General features: G+C 55.3%; 1 protein-coding gene across 58 annotated transcripts in view, besides 4 other annotated features; it reads right to left on the reverse strand.

Annotated features, from left to right (window-relative positions):
• The window catches only part of RBFOX3 (RNA binding fox-1 homolog 3), a 576227-nt gene that overhangs the window by 314131 nt on the left and 243112 nt on the right, over window positions 1-18984 (reverse strand). The gene's annotated exons all lie outside the window — the stretch shown is intronic.
• Window positions 482-983: an enhancer, noted in NCBI's record as "H3K4me1 hESC enhancer chr17:77400039-77400540 (GRCh37/hg19 assembly coordinates)". NCBI's record gives its function as "activates a minimal SCP1, AML or CMV promoter by ChIP-STARR-seq in primed H9 embryonic stem cells {active_cell/tissue: H9 hESC(primed)}" and the evidence as "EXISTENCE:reporter gene assay evidence [ECO:0000049][PMID:30033119]".
• Window positions 4224-4725: an enhancer, noted in NCBI's record as "H3K4me1 hESC enhancer chr17:77403781-77404282 (GRCh37/hg19 assembly coordinates)". NCBI's record gives its function as "activates a minimal SCP1, AML or CMV promoter by ChIP-STARR-seq in primed H9 embryonic stem cells {active_cell/tissue: H9 hESC(primed)}" and the evidence as "EXISTENCE:reporter gene assay evidence [ECO:0000049][PMID:30033119]".
• Window positions 4726-5225: an enhancer, noted in NCBI's record as "H3K4me1 hESC enhancer chr17:77404283-77404782 (GRCh37/hg19 assembly coordinates)". NCBI's record gives its function as "activates a minimal SCP1, AML or CMV promoter by ChIP-STARR-seq in primed H9 embryonic stem cells {active_cell/tissue: H9 hESC(primed)}" and the evidence as "EXISTENCE:reporter gene assay evidence [ECO:0000049][PMID:30033119]".
• Window positions 9767-10284: an enhancer, noted in NCBI's record as "H3K4me1 hESC enhancer chr17:77409324-77409841 (GRCh37/hg19 assembly coordinates)". NCBI's record gives its function as "activates a minimal SCP1, AML or CMV promoter by ChIP-STARR-seq in naive and primed H9 embryonic stem cells {active_cell/tissue: H9 hESC(naive and primed)}" and the evidence as "EXISTENCE:reporter gene assay evidence [ECO:0000049][PMID:30033119]".

Genomic DNA, 18984 nt, shown 5'->3' on the forward strand with positions numbered 1-18984 from the left:
CAGGAATAATCCGTGAACACAGCCCCACCATGGACTTCCACCCCCGTCAGCCCCACAGCTCCACAGGTCCAGCTTCCACAGACCCACAGGTCTAGCCACTGAGGGCTGTGCTGTGGTGGGAACGTCCCGGACAGCTTCGGTGGGAAAGTCCCTGGTGGCTTTCCTGGCTTGGGCAGGGCGGGGCTTGTTCCCTGTCCCCCAGTACACTGCCCCCTCACCCGCCCTCCAGGCATCTGTGTCAGGGCAAACCTGCCCAGGCCCCGTCCTCTCAGGTTCCCCCAGCACAAGCTCCCAGATGTTCTTTTTCTTTTTTTTTTTTTTTTTTTGAGATGGAGTCTTGCTCTGTCACCCAGGAGTACAGTGGCGCGATCTCGGCTCACTGCAAGCTCCACCTCCCGGGTTCACACCATTCTCCTGCTTCAGCCTCCTGAGTAGCTGGGACTACAGGCGCCCGCCACCACGCCTGGCTAAGTTTTGTATTTTTAGTAGAGACGGGGTTTCACCATGTTAACCAGGATGGTCTTGATCTCCTGACCTCGTGATGCACCCATCTTGGCCTCCCAAAGTGCTGGGATTACAGGCGTGAACCACCACACCCGGCCCAGGATGTTCATTTTCTATGGTCCTCTCTTCTCACTCCTTCCCTGCCAAGGGTGATGCCAGTGTCCCGTCCCCACTCTCAGTTGAACACACAGATTTGGGGGAGCCTGAGGGGGAGAGAACAAGCTGGCGGGAAGCCGCAGGACTGAGGCCCGTGAGGACAGTGGGCGTGGGCAGGGCCACAGCGGTGGGAGCCCTCCATGTCCCAGCCCACCAGGGGCCTGGCTAGGCACTGGTTCCTCCCTCCTAAGCCAACTCTTTGAGGTGAGCAGTCTACACTCCGGGCATGAGGGATGCAAGGAGTTGGGACCAGAGCACGTGTCAAGGAGTCCCAGCCCGCGGGCACCCCAGGCCACACGGCCCCACTCTGCTGCAAAGCCCTCTGTGCCCAGGTCACGCAGCTGGCCCAAAGATGGCAGGAGACACAGATGGACGCAGAGGGCCAGCCTGTGAGAAGCCAAGAAGCACTGGGGGTCCAGTCTCAGCCCCGGCGCCCTCTCCTCTGCCCACATCCAGGCCACCAGCTCCACGGACTCTCCTGTCCCTCCCCTCCCATTACCTAGCTTCTGGCCCTCCTCACCACCCCTGTGGGTCCCTCAAATCACTCACTGGGCCCAGTCCTGCTCTCACAGCCTCCCTCCCCCAAGAACCATCCATGGCTCCCTGTGGCCTGGTATGCTCAGACCTCAGCTGCCTGGGCCATTCACCTGTCCATCTCCAGAGTCCAGCTGCCTTCCTACCCCACACCAAGTTTTAGGCAATTAACTCTTTCCTCTATATGTGTTTGACCTCCCAGCTAGTCTGTAAAATCCTAGAAGACCAGAATCATGGATGTTCAAAGAAGTAGATAGCCTCAGTCCCCTCCTCAGGACCTGACACCTAGTCTAGACTCCAGGAAATCAAAGGCCTGCATCGGATCGTCCCACCCACGGCAGGATGCTGGGACTCCCAGACTATGAGGGCCTCCCAAGCAATCACCACAGTGAAGCATGTTCCCCAGGTCTCTCCAAAAATAGCCCTTTACGTATTCATCTTACAGCTGATTTTCCCCCAACATTTTATCACCAATATATTCGAACATATGGAAAAGCTGAGGAGTTTGACGGTGACGGCTGCACCCCACCAGCTCGATGCAACTGGGGCATTCTCCTCCACACTGGGGCATTCTCCTCCACACGCTGCATCACACATCTGAGCCCATCTCCACCCTCCGCCGCCCGACAACCTAGTTTATTATTTTTGATGCATTTGAAAGTAAGCTGCAGACGTGTGTGCACTTCCCCCGATACTTCAGCGAGTTTATCATCAACTAGGGTTTGACATTTGTTTACATTTTTTTTTTCTTTTGAGGTAAAAATTGACATACAATGAAATGCATGAGTCTGGGCCAGGCATGGTGGCTTTATCCTGCACTTTGGGTAGATCACTTGAGGCCAGGAGTTCAAGACCAGCCTGGGCAACATGGCGAAACCCTGTCTGTACTAAAAACACAAAAATTAGCTGGGTGTGGTGGCACGCCCCTGTAATCCTAGCTACTTGGGAGGCTGAGGCAGGAGAATCGCTTGAACCCAAGAGGCAGAGGTTGCAGTGAGCTGAGATCATACCGCTGCTCTCCAGCCTGGGTGACAGAGTGAGACTCTATCTCAAAAACAAAAACAAGAAAGAGAAAAAGAAACGCATGAATCTGCAAATGCACACAGCTGCACAACTCTTCACCTGCCAAGATGCAGACCATGCCCCTCAGGAAGTCCCCTCATGCCCCTCCCCAGCCATTCCCACCTCCAGCCCCCAGGGCAACCACTGTCTTCACTGTTTTCCACCACCTCTGAGTTTTCCCTGTCCTAGAACTTTCTGTGCATGGATCTTGGGACTGCACGCCTTCACTGCTGGCTCCTTTCATGCTACATCAGGGTTTTGAGGCCCATTCACCTCCCTGCATGTATTGGCCCCTTGCCCCTTTTCATGGCTGTGTAATATTCCTAATGCCCCAGGGTTTATTTATCCATCTCTCTGCTGATGAATGTTTGGGCTGTTTCCATTTCTGGGCTCTTGTGAACAGAGCTGTTGGGAACATGCCTGTCTGTGTTGTTCAGCTACAGCTTATTTTGAGAGATTATTTTCTCATTCTTTATGTTGCTTTAGAAGATGGAAACCAGGCAGAGACAAGCAAACTCTCTTTTTGCTCGTTCTCCCAGCTGCCGACAACCCTAGGGATGGGGTCGGCTCAGCACTGCTTCAGCCCCAAAATTCTCACCCGTGGCTCCCGCTGGGGGATCTTGACTCTGCCAGGTCGCTTCTCAGTCTCCACGTCTCAGGACTGGTTGGGTCTCAGAGCTCTTCCTGCAACACCCTCCACTCCGTGTCCAGGCAGGACAGCCACCTGCTTCTCCCTGGGCTGGCGAGGATGAGGCCTCTCCATTGCCTGGCTGTTGTTTCTCCCGCCAGGAAATCCCTGACTCACTTCTAATTGCCGGGAATTGTGGAGAGGGAGGCGTGTCCCATCAGGATGGGGACAATTAACAAACGGTGCCCTCCATTTCCTTTCACGCCTGTAAATGTGACGCGGCGCTGAGTGTCATTATCTCCCCATGTCCTACCTTCCCAACATGACCACGTCGCATGGAATTGGCTCCAGCAGTTGATAAAATTTGCTTCATAAAATTCTGGGGCTACTACATGTGTTTGTTTAACTGGCTTGCCCCCGCCATGGGAAAGGGTGACTCCCTACAATGCTGGATGCTTACTGAGCAGCCAGGACCTGGGGGGACAATATTTGGGGGATGCAAAGAAATACCCGAAGCTGGCTCCAGACTCCTCTATGCAGCTGAAGTGGATCTGCACGGACTTCCATGCCAGGCTGCTGGGGAGCTATGGTGGAGAGAGAGGTGAGCTGCAGATCCACCGGTGCTTACCAACGTCCGTGCATGCTTGTGTGTTTTTGTTTCTGTTTTGAGATGAAGTTTCGCTCTTGTCGCCCAGGCTGGAGTGCCATGGCAATCTTGGCTCACTGCAACCTCTGCCTCCTGGGTTCAAGCAACTCTCCTACCTCAGCCTCCCAAGTAGCTGGGACTACAGGCACCCGCCGCCATGCCCGGCAATTTTTTGTATTTTTAGTAGAGACGGGGTTTTGCCATGTTGGCCAGGCTGGTCTCAAACTCCTGACCTCAGGTGATCCACCTGCCTCGGCCTCCCAAAGTGCCGGGATTACAGGCGTGAGCCACCTTGCCTGCCCTGTTTGCATGTTTTTAGTAAAAGTAACAATAGAAATCTCACAAATGAACAAATAAATCACTCAACTATTGAATAAAGGTCTGGGAGTATCTGTCCTATTGTTAAAAGAGGCTTCCCCTGGGGGAGGACAGGAAGGAGTGGGGCTTTTCACTTTGTATGTGATGTGTTTCCGCATCTTCATTGAAGTGCTGTGAGCTTGTCCTGCCTTCTTTCAAGGTAGTATGTAATTTGGCTGGAGAGCAAGACGGGAACATGCAGTAACTCACAATGTGAGACAATAAATGAGGCTCCGCATTTGGCTTCCATTCAAACCAGAAGGAGCGAGTTGTCTGGAGGACAGAGGGTCCCTCAGGATTGGGGGACAAGGCGTGGGGAGGACTTCTGCAGGATTGCAAAGGAGGAAGGAGAGCTAGGCGGCCGGGAGCAGGAATTCATTCAAGGTGGCTTGGGGGAAGGTGGGAGTAACACCGAGGCAAGAATGCAAGGCGCCCTCTGAGAGGGCTTGTGAAAAACCCCTGTTCTCAGAGTCCTCTTTGCTAAGACTAGAAACAACAGAGAATCGTTCTTTTACTCCTTTGCACTATATAAAGACCTACTATGCAGCCAGCACTGGCCTGGAGTCGGAATGCAAAGATGAAACGCCGGCTTCTCCTCCAAGGAGCTGTGTCGAGCACGGAACCCAGGTCCCAGCTAGTTTGTTTCCAGCGTGGGCTCTGGAGCCCGCCAGCCCCACTTCCGATCCTGCCCTGACGCTTGCCAGCTGTGAGACCCCAGGAAGCTGCTTCTGATCTCCAGAGTTCTGTTTGCTGGTCTGTGAAGTGGGGGGAGAAGGAGCACTCGCCTCCTGGGGTCACTGTGGGGAGGCAGGCTGCGTATCTAGCAGAACACCCGGCCCAGACACACACTCGATGGCTGGGTCTGCAGGGGCTCTTACTAAATGATCTCTCTCATCACAGTGAGAAGTGCCCCACCGAGGACAGCTTCTTCACCCAAGCGAGACCAGTGGGAGGGTCGGGCAGCCCCCACGCAGCACTGAGCTATGAGGTCAAAGATGAGGAGGTGAGTCCACGGGGCAGAATCAGCCGAAGAACTTAAGCAGAAAAGGCTGGAGCAACCAGCGGGCAATGAGATCTGAGCAGGATGGGGGCCCAGGGCTCTGTGGCTCACGGCCATCCCAGGAGCCTGGCCAAGTCATTCTGTGGTTTTAAAGACAGCGACCTCCGAACCTGCGGGTTCCCCATCTGCTGCTCAGGGCTCCCCCAACCACAGATCTAGACATGGTTGCTAAGGGGGTGCTGGATGGAAGGCAGGTCCCTAGGAGACCCTGTTCTGAGAAGCAGAGTCTTAAAATGCATTTAGCCGATGAGGCCCACATTGTTTGGCTGAGTTAATGCCAAATTGCATCTGAATAATAATAATAACCAGAATTATAACGCCAGGTAAAGCTGAGCTGATAACATCATCACCATCATTGTTCTTGCATTAATGGTCTCTCTCACCAAGTAATTATTGTAGTATTATTATTCATCGAGGTGAAATTCACATTACACCAAATTAACCATTTTAAAGTGTATCATTTAGTATCATTTAATCTGTGATGCAACCACTGTCTCTATCAACTTCAAAAACATTCCATCACGCCAACAGAAAGCCCTCTACCTGGTTAAGCAGCCTCTGCCCATCACCAGCCCCTGCCACCTGGCCCTCAGCCCTCAGCGACCACCAATCTCCTTTCTGACTCTATGGATTTACCTACCCTGGGTATTTCATATAAATGGAATCATACAATATGTGGCTAGACACAAAAGGCCACCCCTTCTGCTGAGCACACTGTTTTCAGGGTTTGTCCACGTGGCAGTCTGTATCGGAACTGAATTTCTTTCCATGGCTCTGTGGCACTCCCTTGCGTGGCCCTACCACGTTTTGTGTGTCCATTCTCCAGCTGACAGGCATTTGGCTTGTTTCCGCCTTTGGGCTCTTGCAAACGGTGCTCCTACAAACGTGTGCACACATGGATTTCTTTGAGCCCCCACTGCAGTCTTTTTGGAGTGTGTGTCTAGGAGCGAGACGGCCGGGTTGTGTGATAGTTCCATGTCCAACTTTTTGAGGAACTGCCACCCTGTTTTCCAGTGGCTGAACTATTTTACATCCAACAATGCACAAGGGTTCCAATGTTTCCACATCCTCACCAACACCTGCTATTTTCTGGTTTATTTTCCTTCTGTGGCCTATGAAGTGGCTGCCTATTACTTGTGTAGATATATGGCCTTCTGAAGTCCATAAGGCATGTGCAGAGGGTGGTGGCATGTTGCCTCTGTCCATATGGAAACTGATAAGCAAGAAGTGAAGTGCAGGGCCCTGTGTCTAACCCCAGAGCAGGTGGGCCTGAGACCTGGAGCTGGCAGGCAGCTGGGGTCCCCGTATTCCCACAGAGCGGGCAGGCAGGTCCCTGGAGACCAGTGCCATGGGGTCAGGCTGGGGGATGGGCACTGGTGAGAGGCGGCAGGGGGCCAGCTCTAGGGATGCTGTCTGGCCTCTGAGAGACACCCCCCCATCCACCCATTTCTTATCCCAGCACCTCTGGCCCCTGTTGATGGGGTCAAGTGGCCTCAGCCTAGAAGGTGCAGATTGGAGGGAGGAATGGAAGTCTCCTGGCATCTTGGGTGGTATTTGGAATGCAGACAATGCGAATGGAAGGATGTGTTGTGATTTCTTTTAGGACAACAGGTCCTCTCCTTATTTCCCGCCTGCTCCTCTCCACTGCCACTCTCCACCCTTCAGCTCTGCACACCTGGACAGTGAACAGCTGTTCCCGTGCCTGCTGCCTCAGCTCAGCATGCGTGTGCAATGCTAGACGGCCCCCTGCACACAGTGTCCTGGCCGCCTGGCTGCCTTGGGCCAAGGGAGTGTCTCTTGTGGACGGTCAGTTTCCTCTGGGACATAGGTTCTCCCCTGCACAGTCTTAGCTGCTCCCAGTCAGTGGCATCTACCCTGCTGCGTTTCAGGCTGGTTCTCGTCTCCGTGCATCATTCTGGCTGCGGCAGGCAGAGTTCCAGGTCAGCACCTGGTGTACACACATCTCCAAGTTCTTCAGCCAAACACAAACCGAGGTGCAGCTGTGAGGGGATTTTGCGGCAGGGGGGCGGTCATTAAGGACCCAGGTAGGGAGTTTATCAGGTGGGCCTGACCTAAGCAGATGAGCCTTTGAAACACAGAGAGTTTTCTCCAGCTGGTCGCAGAACAGGAAGCCAGGGGATTCCACAGTAAAAGGGATGGGGCAAAGGGGAACTTCTCCACTGGTGGCGTGAAAGTGGAGGGGTCCCGTGGTGAGGAATGTGCATCTGAGCTTCTGACTGACAGAAAAGTGGCCTTCAGAAAAATGGTGTTGCTTAAGCCCCTGAGCTGGAGGTGTTTTGTTACTCATCAGTGGCACATGCACGCCCAGGTCAGGCGGTGCCTCCTGCCTCCTGCTTCCTGAGCTCTGCAATCCCTCCTGCCTCAGTTGCTTTGCAGGCTGCTCCGCTTGACTGCCGGCCCCAGGAAGGCAAGGCCCCGCCATACCAGCTGCTCACCTGTGGCACCAGCAGGTGCTTGCTCACTGTAGGCTGGGGAACGAGCTGGCACCTGCTCACACCCCTCCCACTCTCTGCACCACACGGCTGGGCTGGGCATCTGGAGACCTGGGCTGAGTGCAGAGACCCCGCTTTCTACTTGTGCGATCTCTGCCAGCTACCTTGCCATTTTGTGCCTCAGTTTCCTCCTCTGTAAAATAAAAACAGCAACAGGAACCACCTTGAGCACATTTTTTTCGTGCCCCGGCACCAGGCGCTGTGCCGACGGAGCCGATGCTGTCACGTAACCGGATCAAATGTTCCCAGGACTTTCTGTGTGCTGCTTGCCTGCGCCCTGCTTTCTGGGTGTGTGTTCCAGCTTCTGAACTATATCGAAGGGTCCCAAAGGCATTTTGGGGTGGGGGCACCTCATGGCACCTCACTGATCTGCTCACACCAAATGCAAAAACCAAAACCCACTGAGACTCATTCTGGAATTACCTGCAGTTACCCCAAGCAGCCAGGTTGTCTCGGACCCAGGGCCTCTGCACGCACCGTCCCTCTGTGTGGAGCATTCTTCCCTGGGGAGCGTGTTCAGCCTTGGCCTCAGCTCCACGGGCTCCTCCTCCACCCTTCTCCCACCTCCCCTCCAGGTCTCCATCAGTTCCCTCCTTGGGGCTGCCCTGGCCCCAGGCTTCCCCTTCCATGCCCTCCCTCTGTGCTGTAAGCCCCTGCCTGCCAGCCCGACTTCGGTCCCCACGCCCCCACCTGCACAGTGGTGAGGCAGGACCAGAGCCTCATTCCCTTGTATGTCCCCAGTCTCCCATGGTGCCTGACTTGTAGCAGTTGTTCATGCTGTGATCCATGCATGCAATGGTTGTTCTAGAGCACCCGTGTTGGACAAGCCAGGCCCCAGTCCTCGTGGAGCCCTGGGCTAGCACTCAGGGGACGTTTGCTGAATGAATGAACAATGAAGGCTCATACTGGGGCCAATTAAATGGAAAATATGGAACAATGTGTGTGCAGCGTGTATGCACGTGTTGTGTATATGTATGTGTGGTGTATGCGAGTGTGTAGTATGTGTGCGTGTATGCACGTGTGTATATATGCCTGTGGGCATGATGTGTGTTATATAAATGTGTGTGCAGCATGTATGCACATGTTGTGTATATGTGTGTGTGGTGTATGTGAGTGTGTGGTATGTGTGCGTGTAGACGCATGCGTGTATATACGTATGTGGGGTGGTGTGTGTATATAAATGTGTGTGGTGTATATGCACGTGTTGTGCATGATCTGTGTGTGGTGTAAGTGTGTATGCACATATGTGTATATGTGTGAGGGCATAGTGTGTATGTGTGTCATGTATGCATGTGTTGTGTGTGATATGTGTGAGTGTATGGTGTGTGTATGGTATGTGTGCGTGTATGAACATGTGTGTATGTATGTGGGCATGTGTATATAAATGTGTGTGGTGTGTATGCACATGTTGTGATATGTGTGGTGTGTATGCACATGTGTGTATGTGTGAAGGCATGGTGGTATGGGTGTGAGTGAATGTGTGTGAGGTGTATACATGTGTGTGATATGTGTGAGCGTATTGTGTATGTGTGTGCACATATGCACATATGTATACATGTATGAGGGTATGGTGTGTATGAATGCATTGTGTTGTGTATGCATGTGTTGTATGTGATATGTGTGTGCTGTGTGGTATGTGTGTGTATGCACGTGTGTATATATGTGTGAAGGCATGGTGTTATGTGTGTGTGAATGTGTGCATGTATGCATGTGTTGTGTGTGATATGTGTGAGTGTATGGTATATGTGTATATGTGTGTATGCACATATGTGTATGTGTGAGGGCATGGTGCATATGTATAAATGTGTGTGGTGTGTATCCACGTGTTGTGATGTCTGTGTGGTGTATGTGTGTGGTGTATGTGTGTGTGCCTCTATGCATGTGTGTGTATATATGTGAGGGCATGGTGCGTGTGTGTATGAATGTATGTGTGGTGTGTATGCACGTGTTGTGTATGTGTGTGGCATGATCCCCACCCACAGTAAAGGGGTGACTACCACTCTCTGACCCTGAGCCCCTCTCTGTTCAACCCTCCAGCCTCCCTTCTGCTCTCTGACAGCCAGAGGAACCAGCCTGCTTCTGCCCTGTCTCCGTCCATCTCTCCTAAGAAGGAAAATTGGGCATTTTCCCAAAAGGTTCTGCTGGTTTAAAAGCAGGGAGGGGGAAAGGGGGAACTGCCTGCAAATGTCACTTGCAGATGAAATTTCTGAAATGCAAGAGAGACCAAAACAGAAACCTCAAATCAGCCCAGACCCAGCCTCAAGAGGGCAGGCCGGGGCACCCCTCCCCTGCAGTGCCCATTTCTGTGCCAGCCAAGAAACTGCTCTGGTTACAAAGGCTGCACTTTCTCAATTTCCGTGACTTAGACTCCAAATTATCCCAAAGGCAGGATGTGGAGTCTCTGAGTGGAAGAATGACCATTCACCTGGCTCTCCTTCCAGAACCTGCTGCATCCAGAGGCTTTCTGAATTTCCATGGATGTGGGGAGGAGCCACAACACAAAAGTGACACCTGGGCTACTGGGGCCCCCCACAAACAGCAGGGAATCCCTGGAGCCACAGCATCCCCGCTCCCACCCAGGAGGCTCAGGCCGTGAGCTCTTCTCTTCCCGTGGCCACACTTCATCAGGGAGCAGGTTTCCACCTGGAGCGTGGAGACTCTGAAGCCAGTGGGAAGGAGGCTCTGGGCACAGGCAGCGTTGCAGCCCCAGTGAGAGATCCTTCTGCAGGTGCACACCTGGGCGATGGGCAGAGGGGAGGGGGCTGGAAGGCAGCCCGAGGAGCAGCAGGCCGCGAGCCCACAGGGTCCAGGAAGAGCTCGCACCTGGGCACCCAGCCCGGGCCATCCTTCTGCGGCCTGGCCAGCAGCCATGTGCACTGGCTGCCACAGGGCAGGCGGCTGCCATCCCATCTGCACCTCAGCTGGGGCCTGGGTTCTGTGCCAAGTGGTCCCTACCAGCCTCATACAGGCGGGTAGTGGTGCCCTAGGCAGGTGGCGTGGGCTCTGGGGGTAGGAGAGGGGGCATGTAGGGGGCTGTGAAGCTGTGTCTCAGGGGCAGCAGGGGCAGGACAGGACCAGGCAGAGGGGACCCAGCTGGGTTTGGGCAGCTGGAAGGAAACTCCCCACCAGCTCGGCTGGCCTCGGCCTTGTTATTCTACCCAGGATCCACAAAGCCCCCAGAAGAGGCTCAGGCAGGTTCTCAAGGGCCCTCCTGGAGTCCCCTTCAGGGCCACACTCCTGTCCATATCAGGGACTTGCGGCAGCATTTTCTAATACAATGCAAATCAACAATTGCCTTGCTGAAGAACAAGGGGTAAAAAAAATCACTGTAAACAAAGTCTCCGTTGCCATGGAGACTATTAAAAATAGATTGGCCACCCTACCCCCTTCCTTCTGGGTAATGTACAGCGAGTTCCTTCACACCACATTATTATTACTTTTTAATTATGAATAATTTCCTCCTTTCCATAGGAAGATGGATTAACACACACAACTTCCCCACAAAGCCCCTCAGCGTGTATTTCCATATGCAAATGCGGCGGGACGGTGCCCCGTGTGTCCAGGCCCCAGGGCGAAAGCTCCCCGTGAATCCCTTCCACCTCTCCTGGTCTCCCTGCACTCTCAGCTTCCTAAGCCTGTGTCTGACTGTCCGTCTGGCTGTCTGTTCGCCTGCCTGCCTGCTCCAGGCTGCGGACTCAGAAACAGTAAAGACAGGTCTGGGAGGTCCGGCCTGGCAGAGCTAAGGAACTGCTGTGTGGGGTAAGCAGCAGACCCCCAAGAGGATGGGCACCTGGGAAGACAGCGTGCCCACGGGAGGACTGAACAGCCTCTGCACTCCCGCTGGCGCGAACAGGCTCTGGTGAAAAGATGGGCTTTGTAGCTCCTTGCTGACATCTTTCCATTCAGTCGGGAGGAACCATGCAGCAACCCCCTGGCAGTGGGTCTGGGACAGAGCCCGAGGTGGCGGGAGCCAGGGCAGCGGGAGGGGCCGTCGCAGTCCAGCTCCCGTTCCCAGAGGGCTCCTGAGCCTCTGAGGTCCCCAGCTGCCAAAGCACAGGTCTGTTCCCCAGGGCAGCCTCCCCAGCTCATCGCCACGGTCCACATGCGGACAAAGACTCACACCAATCCCAGGGCCACCAGGCTGCAATTTCATCACGGGGTTCTGAGTCTGGGGAGTTCAAGTGACTTCTGAGACCACTTGGGGGTGCAATCTGCCCGGTGCCACCTACGAGGACCGCCTTTGCCGAGGTACCTGGGCCGAGGCCCAGCAATACCTGGTAGAATCTTTGTATTCGTTTAAGCCCAGATGAGTTCCAAAGAGCCAGTCCCTGGCACACAGACTCTCACCTTTAGGAGGCTGCCCATGGCTGGACCCTGAGTGATCCCCACATGAAGTGTGGGGCTAAATACTCCAAGGTCCATTTTTTGATCCTGGGGGTCAGAGTACCTCCCCTCCCCCACCCAGGGAGAAGGGGGCACTGTGCACCCCTGAGGCCGACCCTAGCGGCTGTGGAAGAGCTAAGGAAACTTGGAAGCCCTGGACATCTCGGCTCTTGTATTTCAGCACGGCAGACGCAGATGGAGGAGAGAGAAACTCCCTCCTCTGGTGGTGTGTGCATGCAGGCAGCCCCAAGCTTTCCAAAGCCACTCTGCCGGCTCCTGGGGCCACCAGGGCGGGCAGCTAGATGGCCAAGTGGCAGGACAGTCACACAATTGCATGCGGCTCAGTTACGATGGGCACACAGGGAGCAGGTCCTCGGAGGGAGGGGCTGGGGCGGAGTCGGCTCCCTGCCTGACGTTTAGGTGAAACTCTTCTTTCATCTGGGCCCTGGGGGAGGCAGAGTCTGTGTGGGTCATAAGGAGGGGTCTCTGCAAATGGCAGCCTGCATGTGCTGGGGCTGTGGAGGAAGGGAGAGGGACTGCAGGGGTCTCTGAGCATGCCGCAGACCCCAGGGGAGCCCACACACTGGAGCAGGCCCCTCCCACCTCCTCACCTGCAGACGCCCCCAGACTCTGAGAGTCTCTGCTCCCCTCTCCACTGACATGGGCCCCAGAATTCCAGGAGGAGGCTGGAAAAGGCCATGCCTGCGCTGCCTCCTTCTGCCGCCGCCTCTTCCTCTCGCCTGCACTCCAGGGTCCATGTGGTGCAACGGAGTCCTTCCAGCACCCCCAGGCAGGGCAGGGCTGCCCACAGGTGCCCCCACAAGGCCAAGGGCTGCCACCTGCACGGACAGGTCTCAGCTCACCTGGGAGGGCCAAAGGACAGCTGGAATCCTCCCCGGGAGCAGCTGGAATCACCTGCAACCCTCGGTCAAGGAGTGGACCTGGGAGCAGTTACTGCACCCAGAGCTCCCTCCCTCTTCTGGTCTGAGGTGCTTTGGCCATGGCCCCTGCCAAACCAGCCCTTCCTGCTCTGCCCACCGCCAAGCCCAAAGCCTCCTCCCTAGCAGACCCGCCAGCTCTCCTGCTAGGCATAGTATAGGGCAAGGATAGCACCACAGTCCCCATTCTCACTGTCAGCCCCCACTATCCATCAAGGACGCCCAATGGTTCCAGGATCCAAGACAGCGACGTGGCCCAGCACTTCTGGTGTGGCCCCTGCGATGGCGTGACCAGAGAGAGCGAAGACACTTGCTCTCCCACGGGGGCCAGCAGGTGAACCCTGGGGCCAATCCCAGTAGCCTCCTGTGGGGAGAGAAGCTGCAGGAGAAGTGGAGGCCGGCCCTCCCCCGCACCCACCCCTCCAGGTTGGGATGGGGCTGCCACTCAGGCTTCAGCAGCCCCTTGGATCTATCTGCCTCGATTGCTGACCCCTTGGTACTGACAAGCGCAGCTGGCTGTTTTGTGACCTTTAGAATCTAAAGCAACACAAATAGAGCAGCCCCCTTGCCATGAAAGTCTGCAGGGCAAACTGTGGGCCCAGGGGATGTGCTGTTTTGGGGATGCGGCTCTCCCTCCTGCTGGCTGCACCTGGCTGGCAGGTTGGGCAGGACCCATGTTCCTTACCCGCATCCGAGGAATACCACAGTTGCCTGGTAAGCCCCAGGCCCCTTGGCATGGTTTGCAGCAGGGTTCGCATGGCAGGGAGTGGAAAGGCGGCCCCACCCTGTCCCTGCCGCTCTCCCCAGCTCTGCATAAGGGGCACATCTCTCCTGGCAGGGTGGAAGGGGCAGCCAGGTGTTCTGCCAGGATGGCAGGAAAGGGGAGAAGTGGCTGTGACTGTGCCTATGTCATCTGCACAGCCTGGGGGAGAGGAGAGAAGATAACAGAGGCAGAGAAGCTTCTCCTTGCTCCCCGTAAGAGTCTCTCAGCCCCTCAGCCTCTCCCAAAACCCCTGGTCAGAGGCAGAATACTCACTCCTGCTCAGGGGTGCCTCAGCTGAAGCTCTCAGGAAAGAAGGGGCCTGGCTCTGCAGTTCTTGAGGACATCAGAGAGGACACCCCTGGCCCTGTCACAATCCCTTCCAGAGAGCACCAGCGGCCTGGCTTGTCCCTGGATGTTGAAAAGTAGCTGTTCCCCACGGCCTTTCTTTCTCAGAGGAACATGCCCAACCAGGCAGGGAAGAGTCCTGACTACAAGCCAATGGGCTGCCCGACACCCATAAGGATGGCTGCTATCAAAAGCACAGAAAATAACAAGGCATTGGCGAGGGTGTGGGGAAGTTGCAACCCTCATGCATTGCTGGTGGGAATGGAAGATGGCGCCGCTGCTGCGGAAAAGGAAGGTTTGGCGGTTCCTTAAACAATCAGATGGAATTGCCATATGGTCAGCAACCCTGCTCCTGGGTACAGCCCCAAGAGAACTGAGAGCCGCAACTCCAACTGAGAAGTGCACTTCGTGTTCACGGCAGCATCACTCTCAATAGCCACACGGGGCGGCAGCCCAGTGTCCACGGATGGACGAATGGAGAAACAGAACATGCTCCATGCATAGAGGGAATATGACCAGCCTTACAATGGGAGGAAATTCTGACACACACAACATGGGAGAACCCTGGGGACATGACGCTGAGTGAAGTAAGCTGGTCACAACAGGACAAATCCTGTGTGAGTCCACTCATGTGAGGTCCTTAGAGTCATCAGATTCAGAGACAGAAAGGAGAATGGAGATGCCAGGGGCTGGGGAGATAGGAAGGGGGCTTCGTGTTTCCTGGGGACAGAGCTTCAGGTTAGAAAGATGAGAACATTCTGGAGATGGATGGTGATGGCCGCACAACAAGATGAATGTACTTAATGCCACTGAACAGTGCACTTAAAAATGGTTAAGATGGTACATTTTATGTTATGCATATTTTACCACAACGACAAAAAGTTTTTTCCAATCGCAGGGATGTATGTGTTCCATCCAGCTGCCTAGTCCTCCCTCCTTGCACACCCACCCATGCACACGCGTGCACACACGTTTCCCACACTAAAAGTTGGCCACGTTCTTCCTACAGCAAAAGAAAGGTACCTGCCCCCAATTTTCCCTCCACTAGATAATCTCCTTGAACAATTTCATAAAGAAGGATTCACACCGTGCCACGCGAGAAAGCCGTGTGTGTCAGCCAAGAGCCTGCGGCCTCTGGCCAAGAGCAAGAAGAAAGGCACAGACATAGATGCCCAGACATGTGAAGGTGGTCAGTCGTGGGGCCAAGTCTCAGGGCAGCATCCCAGCTCAGGGATGCTTCTTGGCAAGGAGGTCTGGGAGAAAATCAGGAAGTGGCAGACTAAGACCAAGACAGAGAGGGATGGATGTGGCTGTGCCAAGTGCCCTGGCATCCCCCAAGTCTGGGTGGCAAATCCACTCTCCTTAGACTTGCTGCTTGAGAAGGAGGTTTGGGAGAGGAATTCCTTCCCAAAAAGTGAGGGAGGACATGGCACGGAAGACCCAGCCCCTTCCCATGCAGCCTGGTACCAGGCAGTAGGTTTGAGGAGATGGCACCCTTGTCTGTGCTAGCTCAGACTGGGTCACCACCCAGCTACAAATGTATCCTTATTTAATCTATAGCAATTATATTCACATTCTGCTAGACAAATAGATTTTACAAGCCCTCAGTTAAATGTGGATAATTACGTCTGCTGGTGTCAAGGGACCGTATCGTCCAAGCTCAGGAGGAAGCGTGGCATCCTGAGTCCTCCTAATGCTGTAAATTAGCAGGCAACATTCCCATGGCAGCTAAGCAATTATCCATGATTTCATTTTTCCCCACGCCCCCTCCTCACCTCTGTGGGCTGCCCGGCCATGCCTGTGCACACATGTGTGTATGGATGTTTCAGGCATACGTGGCTGGGAATGGCTCATCTGTCTCTCGAGTTGCTAAGATGCCTTTTCCCCGTGAGAGGCCTCTCCCCATGTTGGGGTGCCACCCACTGCTCTGTGCTCTCCTGTGCCAACCTTTCTCCTGAAAATGTCCATCATCAGAGGTGTTTCCAGAAAACCAAAGATGAGCCAACGCCTCACCACTGCCAAGACCTACGTCTTGGCAGGGTTCTTGCAGATGCAGGAGGTCAAACAGGAGCTTCGGAAGTGCATAGCAGGCAACGAGGACCACCCAGTGCTCACAATGGTTGCCTGTGTGCATGTACACACACGTGTGCACAAAATTCAGAGGCGCTCAGGCGCTCCGAGGTTCACAAACGCCTGCAGCTCTGCCACTTTTACACAGGGCAATCTTGGAGAAGCCCCTTCATCTCCAGACCTCAGCACGTTCACCTCTAAACGGGAGAAGTGATACCCACCTCCCACCTGCAGTCCCCCTCACAATGTGGTTGTGAGATCATACGCAATGAAAAATAGGAAAGCATTTTGAAACACACAAAGCACCAATGAAATCAAAGGCAGGGCTGCTTGTGTGAGTTCTGGGCGCCCTGGTGTCTTGGCATCCTCTCCAAGAGCAGACTTATGAATGCTGTAAGATGGTTAACAGGGGCCGGGCGCGGTGGCTCATGCCTGTAATCCCAGCACTTTGGGAGGCCGAGGCAGGCAGACTGCCTCAGCTCAGAAGTTTGAGACCAGCTTGGGCAACACGGTGAAACCTCGTCTCTACTAAAATACAAAAAATTAGCCAGGCATGGCGGCGTGTTCCTGTAATCCCAGCTACTCAGGAGGCTGAGGCAGGAGAATCGCTTGAACCTGGGAGGCGGATGTTGCAGTGAGCTGAGATCATGCCACTGCACTCTAGCCTGGGCAACAGAGCAAGACTCCGTCTCATACACACACACACACACACACACACACACACACACACACACACACACAAAAGATGGTTAACAGGTGTGCCTCCTTTTAGGCAAATCTGATGTTTAAAAAACACAAATTGGCTGGTGAGTCACTTTACAAAAGGTCCCTTTAACGTGGAAATGGAAAGTTTCTGAGTGCATTTCAAATCTACTGCCATTTTTAAAAATACTTGTTTATCTACAAGTTTCTCAGAACATATGTGCAGCACCAAGTCAGGGACTCCCAATTAGAACGCCCCCACCCACGAAGGGAGCATGGGAGGAAAGTGTGAGTCAGCGGCCCCAGGGCTGCTGGGCGGAGTCCTCTGCCAGCCAGCCTGCTAGAGTCCCCTGGGACCTTCTCCCTCCACAGCCATGTCCAGGCTCTGTCCAGCACCTAGGTCTGCCCCCATCCCAACCCAGGAGAAGGGGTCCACATTCTCACAGGGGTCTCCATGGCACCACTGTTAGCAGGCAGGGCAGGCCTAGGGGAGGGAAGTGCACGGGAACCGCTTGCCTCCCAGCCACTGCTCTGCAGCTGAAGAGCTCGGCCACCCGAGGGGAGGGTGGAGGAAAGAGGCCTTGCTGTGAGGAATCTCACCCCTGCCACAGGAGGGTCAGGCCTCTGCCCTCAGCTTCTAGGACAGGATGTCTAAGCCCCTGGAACGGCTTACTGATGAGTGTCTTTATTTACTCAGGGTCTTCGTCTAGCCAGGAAGTAACAATGTGATGTGGGGGCTGGTCTGGGGTCTCACGGGATCAGCTGACCTCTAGAAAGCCTGGAGACTCAGGTCAGCCATGTACACCTCCCAAGCCGCCATGATGAAGCTGGTGAAGACTCGGGCATGGAGGCCCAGGGGCTTCCCTGCTGAGTGAGCCTCCCCTGGTGGGTTGAGGGGCTTCCCTACTGGGTGAGCCTCCCCAGGTGGGTCGAGGGCCTTCCCTGCTGGGTGAGCCTCCCCAGGTGCTGTCAAACATCAGTGCCAGGAAGATGACACCGTCCTGGCTTCACAGCAGAGGGCAGGATGCTCCGTGCCCTAACCTACAGGCCTCCATGCCCTAACCTCCGCGGCCGCTTCTCTCAGCTGGTTCCACCCTGTGTCTTTTAGCTGTAATGAACCCTGAGCGTGAGAACCATGACTGCTGGGCTCCGAGGTCCTCTAGCAAACAACCGGGCCTGAGAGTGGTTCTGGAAGCCTCTACGCTTGAGGCTGGTGTCAGAAGTGGGGCTGCTTGAAGTGGATGGCCCCCTCAATGTGGAAGGAGGCTGGGCCTGGCTGCCTGCCAAGCCTAGGGGCCTCTCCAGAGCCCACGGACCACAGCCACTGGCAGGACAGCAGCTCTCAGCCCCTCCCCCTGAAGAAAGCATGTGGGGAGGGACAGGGCCCAGGGCCTCACCTGGACAGGAGGCGAGGCTCAAATGACCCATGCTGGCATTGGGTGACAGGAGGGGGCCCCAGAAGTTGAGGACACAAGGAACATGGACCCCTGACCAGGGCATGCGGGACCCCAGGGGCACACCGAACGCGGTCACCATAGGACCAAACAAGATGACCATAGGACCAAGCAAGATGACGCAGGCCCCTGGCAAGCCTGAGGCCGGGGCAGCAGCCATGCTCTCTCCTCCTGTGGTGGGGAGGTCTCCTTGAGGCCTTGGGACAAGGGCAGAGAGAGAGAAGGGGAAGGAAGTGATCAGGTGCCGGAAGGCCCCGTGAGGGTGGCCCACGAGGCTCATGGGTTCCAGGAACCCACGCCCCACCCCAAGCTGCCCGGTCCTCAGCAACTGGCCCCATGTTCCACAGGCTCAGCAGCTCCCAACAGAATTCTAGGTGCTGCCCGGACGAGATGAGGAGGGGGACTTGCCGGCTGCTGGCTTCCAGCCTCATGGGGTACAGAGGCACCCAGGGAGGGGCAGAGAGGGGAGAAGAGCATTGAAGGGGCTGAGAGAGGCGGGACTTGGAGCCTGGGGAGAAGGGTGTGGGCCGGGGAGGAGAGGAGAGGTCCTGAGAAGGCCCTCTGATGATAGCTGCTCTGGAGAGGCAGAAGGGAGACAGGGAAACAGGGGGAGCCATGTGCAGACAGCAGTTGGGACGGGCACGCGGGGAGGGCTGGCCCCCGACAGCGGCAGCACAGCCTCGTCTTCCTGGTAAATCATCCTATGGCCTCGCTGGCAACTGTGACCAAGATGCCCAACCCCCCTCCCCACACATTCAACCCCTCCCTCCGTCCTGTGCTGCCACAGCACCCCCACTGCCTCCCTGTGCCCGGCCCTCCACTCCCAGGCCGGTGCCTCCAGGAAGCCCAGGGGGTCACCTGCCCGAGCC

Source organism: Homo sapiens, chromosome 17 (genome assembly GCF_000001405.40).
Source record: "Homo sapiens chromosome 17, GRCh38.p14 Primary Assembly".
Classification (NCBI taxonomy): Eukaryota; Metazoa; Chordata; class Mammalia; order Primates; family Hominidae; genus Homo; species Homo sapiens.